Raw genomic sequence first — 22623 nt, 5'->3', positions numbered from 1 at the left:
TTCAAAATATATGAAAGAAATATATTTTGGGGTAAAATACTTTGATTTCTTTCCGGACCTGTTATCTGTCATGTTGATATCTTATTGCTACAAAGAGTCTGTTTTGTCAGTCTTAAGGTCTCTGTTTTTTTTGGTTTTTTTTTTTGAGACAGAGTCTCACTCTGTCGCCCAGGCTGGAGCGTAGTGGCGCGATCTCGGCTCACTGCAAGCTCCACCTCCCGGGTTCACACCGTTCTCCTGCCTCAGCCTCCCGAGTAGCTGGGACTACAGGCGCCCGCCACCACGCCCGGCTAATTTTTTGTATTTTTAGTAGAGATGGGGTTTCACCGTGTTAGCCAGTATGGTCTCGATCTCCTGACCTCGTGATCCACCTGCCTCAGCCTCCCAAAGTGCTGGGATTACAGGCGTGAGCCACCGCACCCGGCCAAGGTCTCTGTTTTAATATTAATGCTGGTCACCTGTGCCTGGATTCCAAAGGGAGGAGGGTATAATGAGGCATGTCTGACCCCCATTATATATAAAGTTTTGGTGCCGCAAAAGAAATAGCATTCGAATATAAAATTTTCATTTAATTCTCAGCAAGGCAAGTTACTTCTATTGAATAGTGCGCCCTTACAGATGGAGCAATGGTGAGCACACACTTGACAAGGGAGGGGAAGGGGTTCTTATCCCTGACGCACGTGGCCCCTGCTGCTGTGTCGTTCGTTCCCTTGTTGGCTAGGGTTAGACCGCACAGGCTAAACTAATTCTGATCTGCTAATTTAAAGAGAGTGACGGTGTGAGTGCTTTGGCAGGGGAAAAAAATGGTTATGCAAGGTGGAGAATGAGTCAGGGCGGAGCAGGTAGCAGGTAATCTGAATGAGTTAGGGTGAAGCAGGTGATCAGAATGAGTCAGGGTGGAGCAGGTGATCAGAATGAGTCAGGGTGGAGCAGGTAATCCCAAAAGGTTGCTTTACGAGGAAGTTAAGTTTAAAAGTAGAAGGTAAAGAATTGAACATACTGATATATTGATTCTTTGAAGAGAAATTTAGAATTTATATCTAACACCCCTTGCCATCATGGCTGAACTAGTTTTTCAGGTTAGCTTTGGAATGCCCTTGGCCAAGACGAGGGGTCCATTCAGTTGGTTGGGGGGCTTAGAATTTTGTTTTTGGTTTACAATGGACTGTGTATATTACTATTAAGTGGTCCTTGGAGGCCAAAAGTTTGAGAAACACTGTCCTAGACAGTGCTCTCCTTGAGAGCAGAAGCCACAGTTACCTTTATCCTTTCCTTAGAGCCCTGCACGTCGTGACCTGACACATAGTAGGTATTTAACAAATATTTGATTATTTTAAAAATTGAATGGCCTTTATGGGAGAAACAAAAGAATTATCATTGTTTCCTCCTGTTCCTTGCCTTATCCTCAAGTAACATGTTTATTTGGGAAGAGTTTATAACCATTTCATTTCTGAGTTTTACATTCTGCTTCAGTTTTCTCAGACATCTCAGATACTTTTCTGAGCTGAAACCAAGACGAAGTCACAGTCCTCCACAATTCTGCCCTAGCTCCTTTGGAAAGCTACCAAACTAATCACTGATATTTCTAATTTATTTATATATATAGGTATCTGCTTTACTATATGAGAAACTGCCAGACCAGTTTCCAAAGGGGTTAACCATTTTGCACTCCCATTGGCAGTGGTTAGAAGTTCTGTTTGCCCCACCTTCTGATATTTGGTATCATCAGTCTTTCTAGTTTTAGCTGTTCTGGTGGGCAAAATTCTAGTCATATCACGTTGTGATTTTAGTTGTCATTTCCCTGATGGCTAATAAGATTGAACTCTTTTTTCATGTGCATATTGGTCTTTGTGAAGTGTACATTAAGTCTTATGTCCATGTTTTTTATTGGATTGTCTTTTATCATGAAGTTGTAATTCTTTATTCCGAATACAAGGTTGTCAGGTACATGTATTGCAAATTTTTTTTCCATCTGTGGTTTATCTACTCATTAACAGTTACTTTTGATGAGCAGAAATTAAAACACTTGAAATCCAATTTAGTAGTTTTTAACTCTTGCAGTTACTACTTTCTTGCTACCCAAGATTGCAAAGATATTCTTCTGATATGGCTGTCTTGTCTGGGGAAACACCCAGGGTCCTTTATCTCGCACCAAGAAAATTAGCAACATGGACACACTCGTGGAGTGGATTAAGGAGCAGAGAGTTTAATAGGCAAGAAAGAAGAGAACAGCTCCCTCTACAGAGGGAGGTCTAACTGCCACATATGGTGGAAAACAGTCAGTTATACTGGGAGGCTCGAGGAGGCGGTGTCTGATTTGCATAGGGCCCAGGGGATTGGTTTGACCAGGCGTGTCATTCACATAGCCCTTGAAAAAACTGGCCCTCCCACCCTAACCTTTTATTATGCAAATGTGGCTTCTACCTGGCTGGTTGCCATGATACCTGTACACATGGCTTCTACCTGTCTGGCCACAATGTTACCTGCACACGCGGCAACAAAGAAAAGGGAGTGGGAACTGCCCTGTTGCGTGGACCTGGTTCTTAGCTGCCTGCATTTACATATGCAAGCCTGCTTGCTTGTCAATGCTTGCAGGTCTGGTTTTTCAGGCCATTTTCTGTTAGAAAAGAAATGTTTTGGGGGCTGCTTTTTTATTAAAAGAAAAAGCCTTACTGAAGACTCTTTTACCCATTCTAGCTGCCTAAAATAATTTCTTAATAACTCCTGTAATATATCTGTGTTTTTTGTAGAAGCTTATAATTTTAGCTTTTACATTTATGTCTGTGATTCATCTCAAGTTAATTTATGTATGGTGTGAGATGGGGTTATGATTCATATTTTTCAACATTTTTTGTTGAAAAGACTGTTCTTGTACCCATTATATTAGTCAAGATACTCCAGAGAAACAGTCAAAATATTTTATTTATTTATTATTGATTGATTGATTATGGGAATTGGCTCATGCAATTATAGAGGCTGAGAAGTCCCACCATCTGCTTTCTGCAAGCTGGTGAACCAGGAAAACTGGTGGTGTAAATCAGTCCAAGTTCAGAGACCTGAGAACCAGGAGGGCCTCTGCGTAAGTCCTGGAGTCCTAAGGCCTGAGAGCCAGGAGTTCTGATATCCGAGGGCAGGAGAAAATGGATGTCCCAGCTCAAGGAAGAAGAGAGAGAGAATTTGCCCTTCCTCCACCTTTTTGTTCTACTTGGGCCCTCAACAGATTGGAGGACGTGCACCCACACTGTTGAGAATGGATCTGCTTTACTCAGTCTACTGATTCAAATGCTAGTCTCTTCCAGGCAAACCCTCATACACACTCCCAGAAATCATGTTTTATCAGCTACCTTGACATTCCTTAGCCCAGTAAGTTGACACATACAAATCAACCATCACACTTATTGAAGAGCATTGACACCTTTGCCAAAGATTATATGTGTGGGTCTATTTCTGGACTCTCTTCTGTTCCATTGATCTGTTTGCCTATCCGGACTATTTTTCTCTTGCTTACAGGGAGTCTTTTAGACATCGTTATTATGGTGATACTTAACAACATATTAAGTGAACTACTTTTTTAAAAAGAGAAAAATAAGCCTTAGATTAAAAGACTATATCCACATTTCCTTGCTTCCTATCCAGTCACACAAATTATTCCAAGTTCTCCATACATTGATTTTGTTGACATATTTATATAATGAGCCTGCTGACTACATAATATCTGTATTTGTAGTTATTTCTAAAACTTCTTGTGTTTTAATTTTTACTCTTTTATATTATCCTCTAAAAAGCAGTGAGAGGCCCTCCATCCTTCACAGGATGTTGTTTCTTTTTATATTCTGTAGAAATTATGGCTGATCCAGAAATTAAAGTGAGAAACCAGTGTTCCTAGCCAATGCATTCTTCAAGAGATGTTGTTGTCAACTCACTTATTTTGTATGGGGTAACTTCATTAAACAAGCTTGTAAGGGGTTCCTTGCCTCTCACTCTTGGCGTAAAATGGATGTATGAAACCAGATTTTGCAGTGTGACTCAGATGTTCATCTTTATTACAAGTTAAGTTTTGATGCTTTTCTGTTTGTATTTTAAAAGTACTTTAGGGTTGACAATTTAAAAAAAAAACAGGCAAAAGATTTGAATAGACATTTCACTAGAGAAGATGTATAAATGGTCAATAAGCACATGAAGAGATGCTCAACATCATTGGTCATTAGAGAAATGCAATCAAAACCACAATAAGCTACTACTTCATACCCATTAGGATGACTTTAACAAAAAAAAAAAACACAGAGAATAGCAAGTGTTGTTGAGGATGTAAAGAAGTTGAAACTCTCATACACTGCTGGTAGGAATGTAAAATGGTACAGCCACTTTGGAAAACAGTTTCTTTTAAAGTTAAACATTTACCATATGACCAAGCAGTTGTACTTTTAGATGCAGGAGAAATGAAAATACATCCACATAAAGACTTGTACAAAGATGTTTATGGAAGCATTGTTAATAATAGCCAAAAGTAGATACATTTCAAATACCCATCAACAGGGTAAATGGATAAATATGTGGCATATTCATACAATGGAATATTATTCAGCCATAAAAGGTATGCAGTACTAATTCATGCTACATGGACCTCAGAGACACTATGCTAAGTGAAAGAAGCCAGATGCAATAGACCACATACTGTTTGATTCCATTCATATGAATGTCCAGAAAAGGCAAGTCTATAGAGACAGGAAGTAGATCAGTGCTTGCTTGAGGCTGTGGGTGGGAATGAGCAGTGACTGCAGATGGGCATGAGAAATCTTTTTGGAGTGATGGAAATATTCTGAAATTGGATTGTAGTGATGGTTGCACAACTCCATACATTTTCTAAGAATCGTTGAAATGTACACTTTAAAATGAGTGGGTTATTATGGTTTGTAAATCATACCTTGATAAGTTGTGTTGTTTTGTTTTTTTAAGGAAAAAAGTGTTTTATGATTGAAAAACTCTGACCTGAACTGGGTCTGAAATATCAAGGAACTACCAGGACCCTGGCCTGAAACTTGTGGCCAAGTGAGAAATGATAAAAGCAGAACTGCTCTATATGGCATTCGAAGACTCTCAATTTTAAGAATCAGCTTCTCCTTGAATTGAAAAACCACAGCATAAGTGCTTCTCATCAACATCAGCCATCTCTTCAGACAGCTGAGGGCTTTGAGGAAAAGGTGCTTGGTGAAACTTGGGTATTCTCATTTTATGAATAACCCTAAGCTTTGCAGTATACCAGGTCGCCATGCAGGAAGTACCAGGCATGTTTGAACGTAATTACCCCCACCCTGCTATAACTTTCAAGCCATCTGTGCCAGTTTCACGCAGTCTGGACTAGTAAGTTCTTTCTGAGACGCTCCCCAGTCTTCTTTTCCTTGTCTACTAGTGTCTTGTTTTTATGATTTTTTTTTTCTTAAATGTGTCGTCGTCACAGAACATTTAATTTAAATGCCACACCATCTGAGCAAAATGATTCACTGTCTTTTCTTCTGCTGACTAAACTCTTCTCCAGGAATCATGAGGTTTTTCTTAAATAGCATGCTAGTTTATCCACTTTTGTTTTGTTTTTAATTTAATTTACATTTTTTAAAAAGCTTTGTGTTTGGTGGAGTCTAAGTGGAAAAGAATTTAGTTTGAAAAGAATTTATAAGCAAAGTTAGCTAGGTTGTTGGGAGGCTTGGGCACACGGTGTGGAAATAATGAAAGTGCCTCCTCTGTTGATGCACCTAACCACCATCCCAAGGATGTGCCCTCGGGTTGTTGCTTCTGGCACCTCTGAGCCCTTCCCACACCCTCTTCCTCTCTTACGCGCTATTTGAGGCTACACATTTGTGAGCCATCTGGCTAGAGTAAGACAGTCGTCTGTGGCCTCAGACGTTGTTTTCTCTTGTAAAAGTTTTTCCATGTCCCATCTATCTGATCAAATGTCCTCTTTCCTGAGAGAACTGGACCTTTTGAAATGTTTTTCCCCTGAAACCATCATTCTAACTGCCTTATGATATTGCAACATTCAGCTCAAATATCTTAACCTGACATGTTCAAAAGCAAACTTATGACACCCTCTGTCCCTCTGCCCTACTTCTTTCTAAAGCAAAACAACATCAAACCTTTCTCTCCTTACTGCCTTTGTATTGTGGATGGTACCTGCAGGGCTTGAAACCCTGAAGCTATCTTCAATGTTTTTTGTTTTTTTGTTTTTTACCTGCTGTCAGACATCTGGCCTCTGCCACATTAAGTGAACCAAGCTTTCCCATGCAAATGCCTGCTGTGAAATTAAAACAACAATGGTGTCTTTTTTTTTTTTTTTTTTTTTTTGCCTGCCAGACTGATAAGTATTGATAGGCATCCAGCGTAGGAGAAGGTGTGAAAAATGGGAACTAATACAACTTTTCTTGGGGTATATTCTGTAATCATCTAAAATGCCCAACTCCTTGATTTAGCAGGTCCATTTCTAGGAATTTGTCCTATAAAAATATTCCCTTAAGCACAAGAATATTTTTATAATTATGTTTATAATAGCATTATTTATATTAATGAAAATTTGGAAACATGCTAAATTTAGAAAAATTTGAGATTTCTTGTATAAATGATGGTGCAAGTGTACATTAGAATAGTATAAAGCCATTACAGATGGTAGTATAGCTGTCTTTCAGTCCTTTGGAGTTCTCTGGATATTTGATAGGTGCTTAACAGATCTGGGTTCCATTTTAAAAATATACTCTTATACATTATTTTATAATGTTATACATGACATTGTCTTCTAGATAACCTACAAATACAGCATCTATCATTCTTATTATGTCCTAATAAAGATCACCTCAGTGGCTTCTCGTGAAACCTGATGAATTAAGCATTTATTTATGTATTTAAGCATTTATTTCAGTATTTCTCTTCCCACCAAAATTACAGTAAGGGAATTGAAAAGTTTAAACTCACAGGAAAAATGGAATTGGAACAGAATTAATAGTACATGAGAGATACCAACAAGATTTTGGAAGATAAGAAAGCAGATGGTCAGTGGTGACTGAATTAACAGAAGAGAGAGAACGAACACTCCCCTGCCAGAGGAGAAGGGAGGTGTCAGTAGGAAACAAGCCGATTTGTGCCACAGAATTCTAGAAAGGCTCTGGAGCTGGAGGCACCTGGTTTCTTGGAAGGCAGGAGGGCAGATGAGGTTAGAAGTTGGAGTTCTGTTTGAAGGCCTCTGTAAGAGCGGTTAACCCTACAGGTTCCCTCCTCCACCTCCAGCAGCAAGGGTGCTGTCTCTCTTCTACCTCCCCACCTTCTCCCTCCAGCCTGGCAGGGAGTATGCTCTGGGAACCACAGGGGTTCTGGGCTTCAGAACTGCAAGCCTAGCAGAAGAGGTCAGGCCCAGGTGTGGCACTGAAAACAGGGTAATTACAGTCTGTGTACTAGAATGGTGAGACCCCGGCCCCACCTCTTTCCCTGCTCCTCCGATGAAAGCTGCAGCAAGGTCTTTACACCTCAGGCGAGGCATGGAACAATCTTAGAGAAAATGAACAGCCCTTGAGAAAGGACCTCTATCCAGATACTGACATTTGGGAGGCCCAAGGCAAAAGCCAGCTCGTCCCCATCACACTGGTGACAAGCCCTGCCACAGAGCTTCCAGTCAGCCTCACCTCAGTTCTGAATGTGAACAGCCAGTTGGGGATTACTAGACATTTGAGGAAAGCCTCTTACATGAAAAGGCAGAGCCCAAACCGAGGGAAACAAAAACTCCAAGGCAACAGAAACAGTGCAGAGCAGAAGAAAATGTCAAAATAATAATCATTATCGTCCTCAGGGAGATGTGAAAAGACACTGTGCACATAAAATCAAAGCAGGATACTAAAAACAAAGGAAACAACAAGAAAAACACTGTTGGAAATTTAAAACTTGATAATAGAGATAAAAAAATTAGTATCAGGGCTAAACTTGACACTCAGCAGGTAGAACAAAATAAGAGGTAGAGTATTGAAGAGAAAAGATAAGAAAATTAGAGAATCCTGTCAGGGAAGTCCAAGTCTGACTAACGAGAGTTCTAAAAAGAAAGAACAGGGAATTTGGAGAGGAGGGAGTTATCAAAGAAATAACACTCAGCACAAATGAATGAAGAAAGATAAACACCAAGGTGCATCTTTGTTAAATTTACTCACAAAAATCCTACAACTCTCTGCAGAGGAGGACAGTCACATAGAAGGGGAAAGAACAGCATCAGCCTATTGCTGGAAGCTAGAAGGCAGTGGAGCAAAGCCTTTAGCGTTCTGAGAAAACCATTTAAAGCTACAATTCTGTACCTTGCCAAACTGGCAGACAAGTGTTGAGTACAGAATAATAAAGACATTTTCAGAGGTGTACTATCTGAAACTTTTAATCTCTGTACACCTTTGGTAAGAAAACTAAAGGAGGATGATCTCCAGAAAAATGAGGGAATAAAACAAGCAAGGAAAATGACCTAGAAGCCCTGGGAATGGGGGTTCCTGAATTGGTGAAGAAGTGAAGTCCCAGCCCACAGCTGTGCTGCAGGCCTTGAGAGTGACCAGTCCAGACTGGATAGAGGGTGGGCAGGAGGAAGGAGAGCTCCAGAATGGGTGTTTCCAAGAAGAGAATGGAGCTTGATAGAATACTGGTGCCTGGCCGGTATTGAGAGGGGTTTTAGTGATAGGCACATAGAAAACTAAGCTAACTTAAAGAACAAGGCATGGGCCGGGAGTGGTGGCTCACACCTATAATCCTAGCACTTTGGGAGGCCGAGACAGGCGGATCAGTTGAGGTCAGGAGTTTGAGACCAGCCTGACCAACATGGTGAAACCTTGTCTCTAGTAAAAGTACAAAATTAGCTGGGCGTGGTGGTGGGCGCCTGTAATCCCAGCTACTTGGGGGGCTGAGGCAGGAGAATAGCTTGAGCTTGGGAGGCAGAGGTTGCAGTGAGCCGAGATCGCGACATTGCAATCAAACAAAACAACAACAACAACAACAACAACAAAAAGGCAATTATTAGCTTTAGGAAAAATGAAAAAAAATATTAGCCCAGCAGTGAAAAATTTAATATTCATGTGGCTGTAGTCATGAAAATCTTGAATATGGATTTAACCAGAATTTTTGACAGAGGAATAGGGGGAATAACAGGAAGCAAAGAGGTGAAGTTTAAAAGGGCTAAGTCAAGAAGTAGCAGCATAAGCATATAATATATTAAGCAACAAGGAAATAAATTTCACGCAAACTGTCTGAAAGAATTACACTGGTTGCTTCTGAGGAGTGGCTGTCAGGGGCAGGAAGAGGGCAAGGACTTATTTCCCATTGCTGTTAAAAACTATGGACATACTTTTATATTGTAAACTATGCACATACTTTTTAATATAATAATTGGATTTAAAAACAATTTGTTCTCTTTTGTAGCAATTTAATGCTACCATGTAAAGCCTGTCTTTTACTCATTTAAGAGAACATTGGATGCTCACATATACATCTGTTCTGTTTTAAATGTGCTTTCTTCTTTACTCTGATTTCTCTTATCCCAGAAGGGAAGGGCTTTTTGTTTCATTCCTAATAAAATATCAGTATAGCTGGGCGCAGTGGCTCATGCCTGTAATCCCAGCACTTTGGGAGGCCAAGACAGGTGGATCAGAGCACCCTGGCCAACATGGTGAAACCCTGTTTCTACTAAAAATACAAAAAATTAGCCAGGTGTGGTGGCGTGTGCCTGTAGTCCCAGCTACTCAGGAGGCTGAGGCAGGGGAATCGCTTGAACCTGGGAGGCAGAGGTTGCAGTGAGCCGATATCACGCCACTGTACTCCACACTCCAGCCTGAATGACACAGAGAGACTTCGTCTCAAAAAAAAAAAACAAGAAAGAAAAGAAAAAATTAGTGTAATTTTGTGTTCCTGACCCATAAAAGACTTATCAGATGAAATTCCAGATTATGGAGATATTTTCTTGAAAATATTTCAGATTTGTTTCTTAGATTATTGCATAGAAGTCAGTTCTGTCCTATAAATGTTTTTGAAAATATATATATATATTCATGTGTCATTGAGAAGAAAACATGGGCCAGGTGTGCTGGCTCATGCCTGTAATCTCAGCACTTTGTGAAGCTGAGGTGGGTGGATCACCTGAGGTCAGGAGTTCGAGACCAGCCTGACCAATATGGTGAAACCCCGTCTCCACTAAAAATACAAAAATTAGCTGGTCATGATAGTGGGCACCTGTAGTCCCACCTACTTGGGAGGCTGAGGCAGGAGAATCATTTGAACCCAGGAGGAGGAGGTTGCAATGAGCTGAGATCATGCCACTGCACTCTAGCCTGGGCGACAGAGTCAGACTCTGTCTCTAAAAAAAAAAAAAGAAGAAAACATGGGTGTTGTATGACAAAAAGGCTCCTAGCTATAATGGGAAAGGTCTCCCTCAGCTTTTATCTCTGTTACCTTTAAGAATATCTGCCAGACAATATGTACTAGTGGTTTAGCCTGGGGATGCTTTTTCTCCAGGAATCTCCACCTATCATGTCTATCTTCTGGATTAATTTATGTTGACAACTTCCGGAGAATTGAAAGAATGCCCTAAAATGACTTAAGTACTTTGTTTCAGTTTTCAAAGGTGTAAAGAAATTGGCTGGGTGACAGGGCAAGACCCTATCTCTCGCTCTGTCTCTCTCTTACACACACACACACACACATACACACACACACAAAATCCTGTATACATGGACTGAGGGAATATAACAAAGCAGACTGCTTGGGACGGGCATATGAACAAACTGTTGGTGCCATCTCTCACATGTCTTAGTGGGACCCCCCCACTTACCCCAGGGAGGCACTGCCAGCTTCTGGGTCACATGAACCCTTGGAGTTTATGTTTTATCCTAGTTTGATATACACACGCACACACACGCACGCACATATATGTGTGCGCATGTGTGTGTGTATGTTGCTGTGCCAGCAGCTGGTAGTTGATTAATACTTGTTGATTTGCAAAACAAATAAATAGCAAAGAAAATCCCGAAACTATTCACAGATCTGAGACCAAAATATATGAAGATAGGAAACTTTTTTTCCATCTCCATCTTCACCTGCATTGTGCTTTTTGGATGCCTGGCTGCCAGGTGCATGTGGGTTCAATTACTCAGACAAAGATGACTAGAACACTCCTGTCTGTGCAAGGTTCACAGTCAGCTGCAAGGCCAGGTGCACACTGCAGACACCTGTGAGACCTGTGGATGCCGAGGAGGCACCAAAGGGGAGAGGGAACAGTGGGCTCTGGCTCTGGGAGGTGAAAGAGGGAAGATAACATCCCCCCAGGTCTAGGAATTGGATGGGAGAGGATGAGTTCCTCGAGAAGGTGTATTTGGCCCCAACTTTGAAATTGGAGTGGAAGTCAATAGTCTGGGAAGGGAAGAAAGAATATTCCAGGCAGGGAATTTACATACGACCTCACAGAGGTGGGAAAGGAAAGGGGCCAGGTGTGTTTGAGGATGGACAGAATGATACCCAAGACACAAATGGCTGGGGGGTAGATGAGGCCAGAATGTTAGCCTGGGGTGGGCCCAGTACCCTATGATTCTGAGGAGTTTGGACTTCATTCTGCAGGTAATAGGAAGCTCCTCTGTTATTCTTTCATTCTTTTATTCCTTCAACAGCTGTTCATTCATTCAACCTGTGGTTGTTGGGATTCAGCAAGGCAGCTTCAAACATTAGAGGAGAGGCCTAGATGTTCTAAGGCCAGGGTGGCCCTGTGTCCACATTTGTCCTGGACAGTTCTGATGTGTACCTGTCATCCAGGGCATCACATATGATTTACAGTTTGTCATGGATTTTTTCATTGTTTTAAAAGAAATATTACCTTTTTTCCCTTTTTTATAGTCATTTTAAGGACTTTAGAAATATTACTCTTAATAGTTGCTTTAAAATAATCTAGGATGGGCTTGGTAGAGCTTCACTTAGTACTTCCATCTTTTGCCGTGGTCTTGTCTAGAAGTGTATCATGCATGTATGCAGTGCCCGGAGTTCTCCTTGAACACATGGCTAAATGTGAAAGACAACCAGTGATAACCTGTCTCTCCTTTCCAAACCCTTTCCTGACACAACTAACAGCTTTCAAGGACAGCAGGCAGGACACACACTGATCACATGAAACAGCTTGGGCTTCAGCCACTAGGTGCTATTTACTCCTTCCAGTCTCCAAGCATTTGCTGCTGCTGCTCCTCGCAGCCACAGGAGGTGCCAGTGCTGTGGTTGATGCCAGACCTGGTAAGGCACCCGAAGCACCAGGCTCGCACCAGCTGGTTCAGTAGGAAGCATGGGAAAGTACAGGTTCATTGCACACATACGATAGATTGGGAAATGGAGACTCTTACTTACTATAGAGTATATAGAATATCCTGGATGCTCTTGCCTAGAGTGTTTCTGAAATTTATTGCTCCGTGTGTATCCACAGCTCTTTATCTTATTATTTGGTAATGCTTTTTAAAAATTTTTGCTGTAAACCCTTTCAGGAGCAAATGGCTAAAAAAAAAAAAAAAAGCTCCTGTTTAGAGAAAAACTGAGTAGTGAATTTCCAGTTTTCTCAAGAACATGGATGAGGAATGTATAACTTGCTCAGAAGATTTGCCACCACTTATGTCCACAGTAGGATCTCAGGGTATCACTGGCCAAAGGAAAACTGCAAGACAAATGTCTGTGAAAAGGAATACTCTTCGTTTTCAACGTTATCTCTTTCCCCAGCCAAAACCTAATGCGACAGCTCTTGGCACGATTGCCTGTCTCCTCATCCTGCTGCATCTACCTTAGCCTTCCTGCTTCTGTGGGTTCGGCTTTGTTGTCCCTTCACGTTTTTCCCATTTGCCTTTCCACTTGGCAGACTTCAGTCTGAACACCCTCCCAATGCCGAAGGGCCTGTTCGCAGCTGGGATCTTTCGAACATCTTCATGCTTAGGCAGCATTTGCACAAGAGGCATAACCTGAAGTCCTGTCTTGTTCGTTTTGTAGCCAAGTCTTCATTCAGCTTAAGAAGTACTAGTGGCTGCTGGTTGCCTCTCACCCCAACTGACCAGCCACAGGTAAAGGACTCAGCGGTGATAACTCAGAGGTGATAACAGGGGCTCGAGGGCCTAGTTACACTTTTGCAGAGGCCATGGAAATTACAGTATGTGCCTCGATGATTCTGAATTTTCTCCCCTTTGTGGTTGCTCCAAATCATCTACGTCTACTCGAAAGTGAGGTGCTTTGACCTGAATTCAGCCCATGGTACTCCAAGCAGTATACAGTTAGGCAAAGCTGATGTCTCCCTTACTATTCACACAGCCTGTGTTGGCTTGCTTGGTGGCCACGTCACACTGTTGATTCCTAGAGAGCCTGTAGGAACCCCAAACAACAAAGGTGTCTATACAGTTACCTGCCACAGAGGTGCTGGGTAAGGACACCTGGTGAATGTCACTATCCATTTGTTAATCAGGGTAATTAACACAAAGTGCAAAACTGCTCTAACAAACAACTTCCCCAGTCTCAGTGGCCTAACCCAATAAATGGCTGTTTCTTGTTCCCTTCACCGTCCAGTGCAGTGGGAGGGCTGTTCTGGGCAGCTCTCTCTTCTCCTGTGTGGCTCTGCTGTCTTCCAACACCTCCACTTTTCTTCTACTGAATCCCCTCCTTAGAGCAAAAAGAGAACTCCAAAAGGATTGCACTGGGTGTCTTATGGCTAGGCCTGGAGGTAATGGGTGCATCACTTTCATCTACATTCCATTGACCAGGACCCAGACTCATGGCCCCAACTTAACTGCAAGAGAGGCTGGGAAATGTCGACTCCATGTGTGACCTGAGAAGAAACAAGGTTTGGGAGCATCTCCTCAGCCTCTGCCACAGTCAGGTCATGGAAAAACACAGCAAGGTGGAAGTCTGGTGACCTGAGTTCTGCCATTGTCTTTCTGGGTGGCCTTAGGCAAGTCATCATAACCGCTGTCAGCCATTTCTTCCTCCCCGTAAGGATCTTAATAATACTTGCCCTGTACTTGTGAGTTTACATTTTTATATAAAAGTATGTGCTAGTAATAGGAGTCATGGCCTGCACTATTATTTTAAGATTATAAGGATCGCAGTCATTTATTCAATGAATATTTTCTGAGTACTCATAGTAGCCAAAGCATTGGACAAACTGTAGACCCACAGACCAACTGTTCTCTGTAGCTTACATTCTGATAGTGAGACAGATGATAAATAATCTGTGAAGAAATAAGAGGGCTGTGTGATCTAAGTGACCAGGGGTGCTCAGGATAGGCTTCTCTGAAACAGTGACTCTTGAGCTGACCTAGATGATGAGGTGGAGTGAGACCCGTGTATATCAGGGAGAAGGCTGTGCCAGGCAGAGGACCAGGCTGTGCAAAGGCCCTTAGGTGGGAACCAGCTCGGAGGGCTCCTTGAACAGAAAAGTGGCATGACAGCCAAGTTGTTGCTTGAAGGAGAAAGATGAGAGATAAGGGGATATATCATGCAGTGTCTTAACCTCTCTGTGCCTCAGTTTCTTCATCTGTAAACTATAAAGTTGGGCCAATAATAATATCAACTTCATAGGGTTGCTGTAAGGGATTAAATGAAATGATACGTATATAGTGCATAGAAAAATACCTGGCACCTGATGTTCACTAAGTGTGTGAACTATAATTAAGGTGAAGATTTTATTCTAAGTGCAGTGGGAAAGTTTTGGGTGGTTTTCGGGGGTTATCTCCACTGGTGTCTTCAGGCTGGGCCCAAGGTGGATGGGAGTTTCCACGCCCCTTCTAGACATCCAGGGGTAAAGTTTTTTTAGTGAAATCCCCAAAAACAAAAGAAAATGTTCAAAACATCTCGTTATTTCTACAATCAAAATATGTTTTATTTTTTAAACATGTATAAGATTTACCTTTACAAGAGTAGTATTGAAATATACCCAGAATATAGATGAATAAGATCTTGTAAGCTTCTGATTTATCCCCCTCTAGAAAGACTGCCAAATATTTTTACATAATTTGTCTATAGATCTTTCTGGACTACCTTTGGAGGTCCATGGGAGAGGTGACACTGAGTGGTCACCTCGAGCTTTACGTAGATCAACTGTGCCTCGAGCTTTACGTAGATCAACTGTGGTCTGCATTTTAGAATGCACGTTCCCAAAGGTTTGTTTGTGGAAGAGGGAAATCGTAGAAGATTAGAATGATGGCTTAAAAAAAAATCACGTGCTGCAAAAACAGTTCTTTTTGATCAAAGTAGTAAATGATGTGTTTAGGGAGGAAAAGCTGCAGACACAAAGGAGCATTCCCATTTCTGCAGAAATGCACTCCTCCACACAGAAGAAGCTGGCCTCCTGTTTGCATTTTGCTCATAGTATCCTAAAAATGCAAACCATCAGCTTAAAATGCAGTTCCTCTGTCCTCTGGCAGGAGCCCCGGCATCGAGAGCTTTGGCACGTTTGCTTGTGACAGTGAGGACATCCCAGGAGCTGTGGGGTGAGTTGAGGTCACTGTGGAAGCTCTACGCTTTGGCCCACACGGGACTTTGCTGTTGATAGGAAAAAACACAAACGTCGAATTGTTTTTCTGCAGGCAGATAATGAATCCCCAAATCAATATAATCTCACAAAACAGTAGCTTCATCTATTTGCCACCAAAAAAGCACCTTGAGTTTCTGCATTAAGTGTTAGCATTTACAGGAGATTTGAAATATAAAGTTTCCAAAAAGATATGCATCTGCTTTTTGCAAAGAATGGCTTAGAAAAGAGAGTGGCCTTTTGGAGCTCTGCTGCCAGGCAAGGTAGGAAATATTAGAATGAAAAAGGTGGAGCCAGCAGTAGGTATATTGTCTGTGATTTGTGCAAGGAGGCCGGTGATTCATTGAGTACCTAATGGATTATTCATTTAACAAATATTTTTGATGTTAAGCTTTAACTTGGGGCCATGCCAGATCCTGGGGATGCAACAGTGAACAAGGCAGGAAGGATCCTTGCCCCCTCGAGGTTGAGCTTTATAACATGCAGTGAGTGGGCTGAGCCATCCCATGCTCACAGACCTGAGGGGAGCACTGCTAATTGGACAGAGCCCACCTTCGGGTTTGGGGGTGTTTAGGCATGTCTCCAGGAGGGAGTGACCTTGAAACTGAGACCCTAAGCATGAGTGAGAGAAGGGCAGAAGTGGGAACATGTTCCAGGTAGAAGGAATAGCTTGTGAAGGTCCTATGTATTTTTATTTTTCCTTCTTCTCTTCTTCCTCAGCCAGAAAATTCAAGGATGCCCAGGTTGTGGAGTGATATGTAAACATTATCCCATTTTCCCTTTTTTTTTTTTTTTTAAACAGGGTCTCTCTCTATTCTCCAGGCTAGAGTACAGTGTGATCATGGCTCATTGGAGCTTTGATGTCCCAGGCTCAAGTAATCCTCACACGTCAGCCTCCTAAGTAGCTGGGACTACAGGCATGCACCACCACATCCAGCTAATTTTTAAAATTTTTTGTAGAGACACGATCTCCCTATGTTGCCCAGGCTGGTCTTTAACTCCTGGACTCAAGCAATCCTCCTGCCTCGGCCTCCCAAAGTATTAAGATTACAAGCATGAGCCTGGCACCATTTTTGTTAATTTTTAAAACAACACAAAAAGTCACTGTGCATTTTGCATGGTTACATATATATAATATATATTAAAATATATATTATATACACATATACATAAATACTTATGTGTGTATATGTATATACACACATACATAAATATATATAAATACACACACACACACACACACACACACATTTTGATCAGCATGGAAGGAAACCCACTAAATTTGTAACAGTGGTTGCTTCTGAGGAAGGAGGAGGAAATGGGGCCTGGGATGAAGACAAAGGAAATCTCATTTTTATCTGAAATGTTTTATTTACTTCATTAAAGGAGACTTTAAAAATCTATTAACAAAATGTTAACAAAAGTCAATTTCGTGGTTGGTATCCAGGTGTTATATTATTCTGTGTATCTTTCTGTATTTTTTATTTTTTTATTTTTTTTCTATTCTTAACAAAGAAAATTCAAGGATACAGACTAGATTCTCCAAGTGGAAAGGCCATCTTCGGAGAATATGCTCTCTAAAGTCCTTTATAATGACAATCAGGAGCTCTTATCAAAGCTTGCATCAGAGGGCATCAGACAATCTTGATCACTCATATAAAAAATGAAGAACGGATGTTGTGTCATACTGAAAAGGCTCACAGCAGTATGCTTCTCATTTGCAATAGAATTTCTCTCTGGCCTTCAGTGCAAGATGACATTTGTCTCTGGTTATAGGAGACTTACACTGGTACAGATCACCTCTGCATCCTTCTTTCAAAAGAAGCTTTGTCGGGGTTGTTCGGGTCAGCATGTGTTCAAAATTGCAATGATGTAACCCAGTTTCTATTGCTGATCATATTTGTGTCTCATTCTCAAATTTTCATTGCCATGGGAACAGGTACAAAACTTTTGGGAACAAATGATTTATTTTATTGGGAATGAGCATCCAAGTCCTGTAGTTAATTTCAACACCTCTCTACAGGAGAGAGTCAACAGAATTGTCTACGTAGTGTCAGAGAACCAAGAACCTGCCAATGAAACATGATTATACCTCCCTATTCCTCTCCTTGATGAAATAATCTAAAAGCCTCCTGGACAGTCTTCCTCGCTTCTTGCAAATTTTAACTCCTGGTTCACTGTCACTGTCTTCAACACTCTTCCTTGTCCTAATCAACTGTAATTTCAATATCTATATGGGTGATCTTCTCAGGTCTTTAACCTCTTCTCCGCCAAATAACTTATCCTCCATAGTTCCTCAGCCTCCCACTTCCACTGTTATTTTGTCCTTACTCCACCACAGTCTTGGTTGTTACTGTCCTCACCCCACAGCGTCCTGATTTCCATCCTAACCCAGTTTGGATTCCACAGCACATCATCATGGTCACTCCCTTGCCTATGTCTTCAACTCTCTTGTCCTTCTCTCCTGCCATATCCTCCCTTGGCAAACCTCACCACTCTCCCCTACTGCTTATATCCAACTCTCCACCTGCCCTGTACCTTTGCCCACGGAGCTGAATGTGGCTGGGGAAGAAGACCACGAACAAACAAAAACAAATATCGCCACCATGCAGAGAGGTCTTAATTTTAATTCATTTACTTCAAGTGGACCCCAGCAGTCCTGGTACTCCTGCTGCATTTCATTAATCCATTTCCTCACTTTCTCTTCTGTTATCAGATTCCCAGTAGTGCCTCTCTCTTCCACATTTGCTGCTGATGACCTTGTTTTCTATTTTACTAAGAAAAGCAATCCAGAAAAAAAATTCTATATATGCTTTCACCACCTCATTTACTGACCTACCTACATCTGTCTTCCCTTCTGTCATTGGGCAAAACTGTCCCTGCTCCTACTAAGGCCAACTCCACCAGCTGTTCCTTCTGTAGATCAGATCCCCCTTTGCCTGCTCAAGGACATCTGTTAAGCAATCCTCCCTCTCTCTTGCTTCATCAGTTTTGCCCTCTCTACAGAATCCTTCCCATCAGCATGCAAACATGCCTTAGGAAACACCCATTGCAAAAACTCTGCTTAGACCCCATATCCCCTTCCTTACCCCCATATTATTCTGTTCATCTTCACAGCAAAACTCCTTGAAAAGCTTGTTTATATTTATTGTCACCATTTCCTCTCACCCCATTTTCTCATGATCCTTTTATCCAGTTTTCTCCCCATGGTGCCACCAGAACAGCTTTGTCAGCATTACCAGTGACTTCTGGTTGCTAAACTTCTGTGTTGCTAAATCCACTGGTCTTTCTCAGCAGCAGCACTTAACTCAGTTGCCCATTCATTCCTCCTTGACATACTCTCTTCGCCTGGCTTCCAGACGCCACACACTTTGGTTGCCTCCTACTTGTTGACTCAGTCTCTATTGTGGTTTGACCTCTTCACAGACTTGATGACATTGGAGTGTTCCAGGCCTCTATACTTAGACCTCTTCCTTTTTCTATCCACATTCACTCTGGGAGTGACTTCATCAAGTTTCGTAGCTTTGAATTACCCTCTATACATTTATACAAATAGTCACTATTCATGCAGGAAAAAAACAAATTAGTTTGAGATTCTTTTCATGGCTAGGACTTTTTCGGTGATTCATAGAGAGCCTGCTTATATTTAAGATTACAGATGTGGCATCATATTTTGATAACTTTCTGATTATTGTACAAATAGAGGTTGTGTGCAAAACAAAAAACAAAGCAAAAGACAGGAAGTTTTACAACAGACATCTTGGTGATAATGTTTAAAATTTAAATTGTTCTTTCTGTTATTAGCTTCTTAAGCTGTTCTAAGTTCTTTGGAACTCTGATATTCACACCACTGAGACAAGCTTCTAGGAATTAGAATGCAACGATGGCAAATCCAAACATGTCCCTTTTGGGAACTACGCCATTATAATTTCTACGATGAAGTGTAGATGTGTTTGACACAAAAAGCAAATAGCACTGAAAACACTTCATCTTACCATAGGAAAATAAAACGTATGGCACTGTACTTACCAACATGGGGAAGCCGTATTAATGTCAAAGCATCTATTGACCCTTGAGTCTGAAATAGTTAATTAAGATGAATATAAACCAACCACTTTTGATTGTGTGTGTTTGATTTTTTTAATCACTGAGTTTTGTTATATGTAAGTTTTTACAGAATGGAATTCTCCACTATTCAGTGGAGACCTCATCTGATTAAAGGAGTAAAACAATTATGATCAAGACTTTATGACTGAACAACTTGAATGAAGAAATTAAAAGGTGGTATGAACTGGGAAAGAAATGGGGCTTTGGTAACCTGAGAATCCTACCAAATGCTTTTATAGCCATTTTTTCTACCTACTCAGGGAATAAGGAAGGAACCATCATTAAGAATTTTATGGGGAAATTATGATGAATAAAATATTATGATAAAATGAAAGCTTATCTTTTTCTTCATTAGCGCATTGTGTCTCAAGGCTTCCTGACATATAAAGTCTTCACCTGGAAAACAAATGAGCAAAAAACTTAGTGACATTCAGAAGAGATGATTCAGCAATTACTCAGTTCATTTAGTCAGTATCGGTAGTTCATCTGGATGTTTCAGGACCCAAAATGAATTATCTGTAAATTAACTACACAATTGCCAAATAAATCCTCTATTTTGAACTTCATAGAAACATTCTATACACAGGCATTGAATGCGTCCTACTGTATTATTTGTAAGAAATGATTTTTTTTTTTTTGAGGTGGAGTCTCGCTCTGTCACCCAGGCTGGAGTGCAGTGGCGCGATCTCGGCTCACTGCAAGCTCCGCCTCCCGGGTTCACGCCATTCTCCTGCCTCAGCCTCCCGAGTAGCTGGGACTACAGGCGCCCCCCACCACACCCGGCTAATCTTTTGTATTTTTAGTAGAGACGGGGTTTCACTGTGTTAGCCAGGATGGTCTCGATCTCCTGACCTTGTGATCCGCCCACCTCGGCCTCCCAAAGTGCTGGGATTACAGATGTGAGCCACTGTGCCTGGCCAAGAAATGATATTTTTAAATGTTTCTTTGCTAAGCAATATCTCTAGGTATTAGAATATGCAAATATATGCTAAGGTCCAATCAGGACTGGTATTCATTCTAAGCAATGACTCATCTATTAATAATACTGACCTAATATTTTGCAGCTTTGTTGAGGTAAGTTCTTAAGGAATAAGATTGTGAATCCTGGAGAATTGCAGAATTTGTCAAAAGAAAATAAGTACTTAAATTTTTTAGGAATGCAATATGCTAGAAAACTTCCCTTGGGTTAGTTCAGATATGAGAGAGGAAAAAGCATTATCTTGGATATTATACTTTACACACTTAAGTAAGTGACTAGATGTCAAAGCCTCAGATATTGTTTTCATGACAGTTTTCTAATTGGCGCTTTTCTTGGCAGGTTCCCGAAGGAAAAGTAGTCGTTCTCAATTTCCGATTCATAGACCTCGAGAGTGACAACCTGTGCCGCTATGACTTTGTGGATGTGTACAATGGCCATGCCAATGGCCAGCGCATTGGCCGCTTCTGTGGCACTTTCCGGCCTGGAGCCCTTGTGTCCAGTGGCAACAAGATGATGGTGCAGATGATTTCTGATGCCAACACAGCTGGCAATGGCTTCATGGCCATGTTCTCCGCTGCTGAACCAAACGAAAGAGGTACTGTTTCCACATAATGGCAATAACAACAGTAATGTTGGTTCACTGTTCTTGGCACTTGATGTTTATTTACTCCTTTAAAGCTTAAGAGTGGTTCTCAAAGAGCTAGTGAATGCCATCAAACCATGATGAGACCAATACAAAAAATCAGCCTTTTAATTTAAGTCCACATGCATTCTTGTAAATCAAGTATAGAAATTCATAGAGTAAAAATGTGGAGCTTACATACATAAGCACACATGCAAATATGCAAACACACCCCTTCACCACTCCATAGTCCATTCTCCAGAAATAGCCATGGCCAGTGGTTCCCATACCTTTCTATGTGTGCTTGCTTTTATTTGAGTACTTATACAATAGCTTTTAAAAAATAAAAGTGGAGCCCAGGCATGGTGGCTCATGCCTGTAATCCCAACACTGGGGGACCAAGGGCAGGTGGATCTCTTGAGCTCAGAAATTCAAGACCAGCCTGGGCAAAATGGTGAAACCCCATCTCTACAAAAAATACAAAAATTATCTGGGTGTGGTGGCACACACCTGTTGTCCCAGCTACTTGGGAGGCTGAGGTAGGAGAATCACCTGAGCCCAGGGAGGTCACTGCTGCAGTGACCGTGATCATGCCACTGTGCTGCAGCCTGGGTGTTGTTGAGACCCTGTCTCAAACAACAACAAATATATATATACACACACACAGATATATGAGATATAGTGAGCTCCCAAGCGTAGAAATCTCTACTTTTGAAAGATCACTGCAGTGGGCAATATTTGTATGTTTTCAGCCTTTTACCCAAGAGCAGTCCATAATCTGCTTTTGGATTGGACTGTAGTGCAACATTTTTACTTGAAAGGTCAGAGGACAGAATCTGGGGCTGAAAGAGCAGCCAGAATGTTGGGGAGGAAATCCAGGCAGGGAGTTACAGAATTGAGGCACAAAATATTCGTATAAAATCTACTGAAATCTTTGTCTGACAGCTAAACTCTACATATGTGGAGGAGAGCCCAGTTGGCCTGGCACAAAAGCATCAGCTGAAAAATGAAAGAACTGAAAAGAGATTACAGCTGCTGCCTGCTGCCAGGGAAACAGACTTTAAGTTTGAGTCTAGCCAAGTTAAATGCCTGCTAGAACAAAATTATTTTTATCAGAACACAACAGAATCTAGAGTATAATGTATCATGCATAATGTCCAGTCTGTAGTTATGTAATGAAACAGGAAAAGTGTGTCCCTATTCAAGGACAAAAGCAGTCAATAAGAACTGATCTCAAGGTAACTCACATGTTGCAATTAGCAAACAAGTACTTTAAAGCTGCTATTACATGTTTGTTTCAGGATTTATAAAGGGAAATATGTGCATAATAAATAAACAAATTGAGAATCTCAGAAGAGAAACAGGAACTATTAAAAA

General features: G+C 41.3%; 1 protein-coding gene across 1 annotated transcript in view; it reads left to right on the top strand.

Moving 5' to 3' along the window:
• PCOLCE2 (procollagen C-endopeptidase enhancer 2) overlaps positions 1 to 22623 on the top strand; it is a 71210-nt gene that overhangs the window by 19648 nt on the left and 28939 nt on the right. The window contains exon 3 of the mRNA NM_013363.4: positions 20964 to 21219. Within this exon, the coding sequence (NP_037495.1) occupies positions 20964 to 21219 (256 nt within the window). The remainder of the gene's footprint in view (positions 1 to 20963; positions 21220 to 22623) is intronic.

The sequence above is a fragment of the Homo sapiens genome, chromosome 3 (genome assembly GCF_000001405.40).
Source record: "Homo sapiens chromosome 3, GRCh38.p14 Primary Assembly".
Classification (NCBI taxonomy): Eukaryota; Metazoa; Chordata; class Mammalia; order Primates; family Hominidae; genus Homo; species Homo sapiens.
The sequence above is the reverse complement of the archived record's forward strand: the minus strand, read 5'-3'. Positions and strand labels throughout refer to the sequence as shown.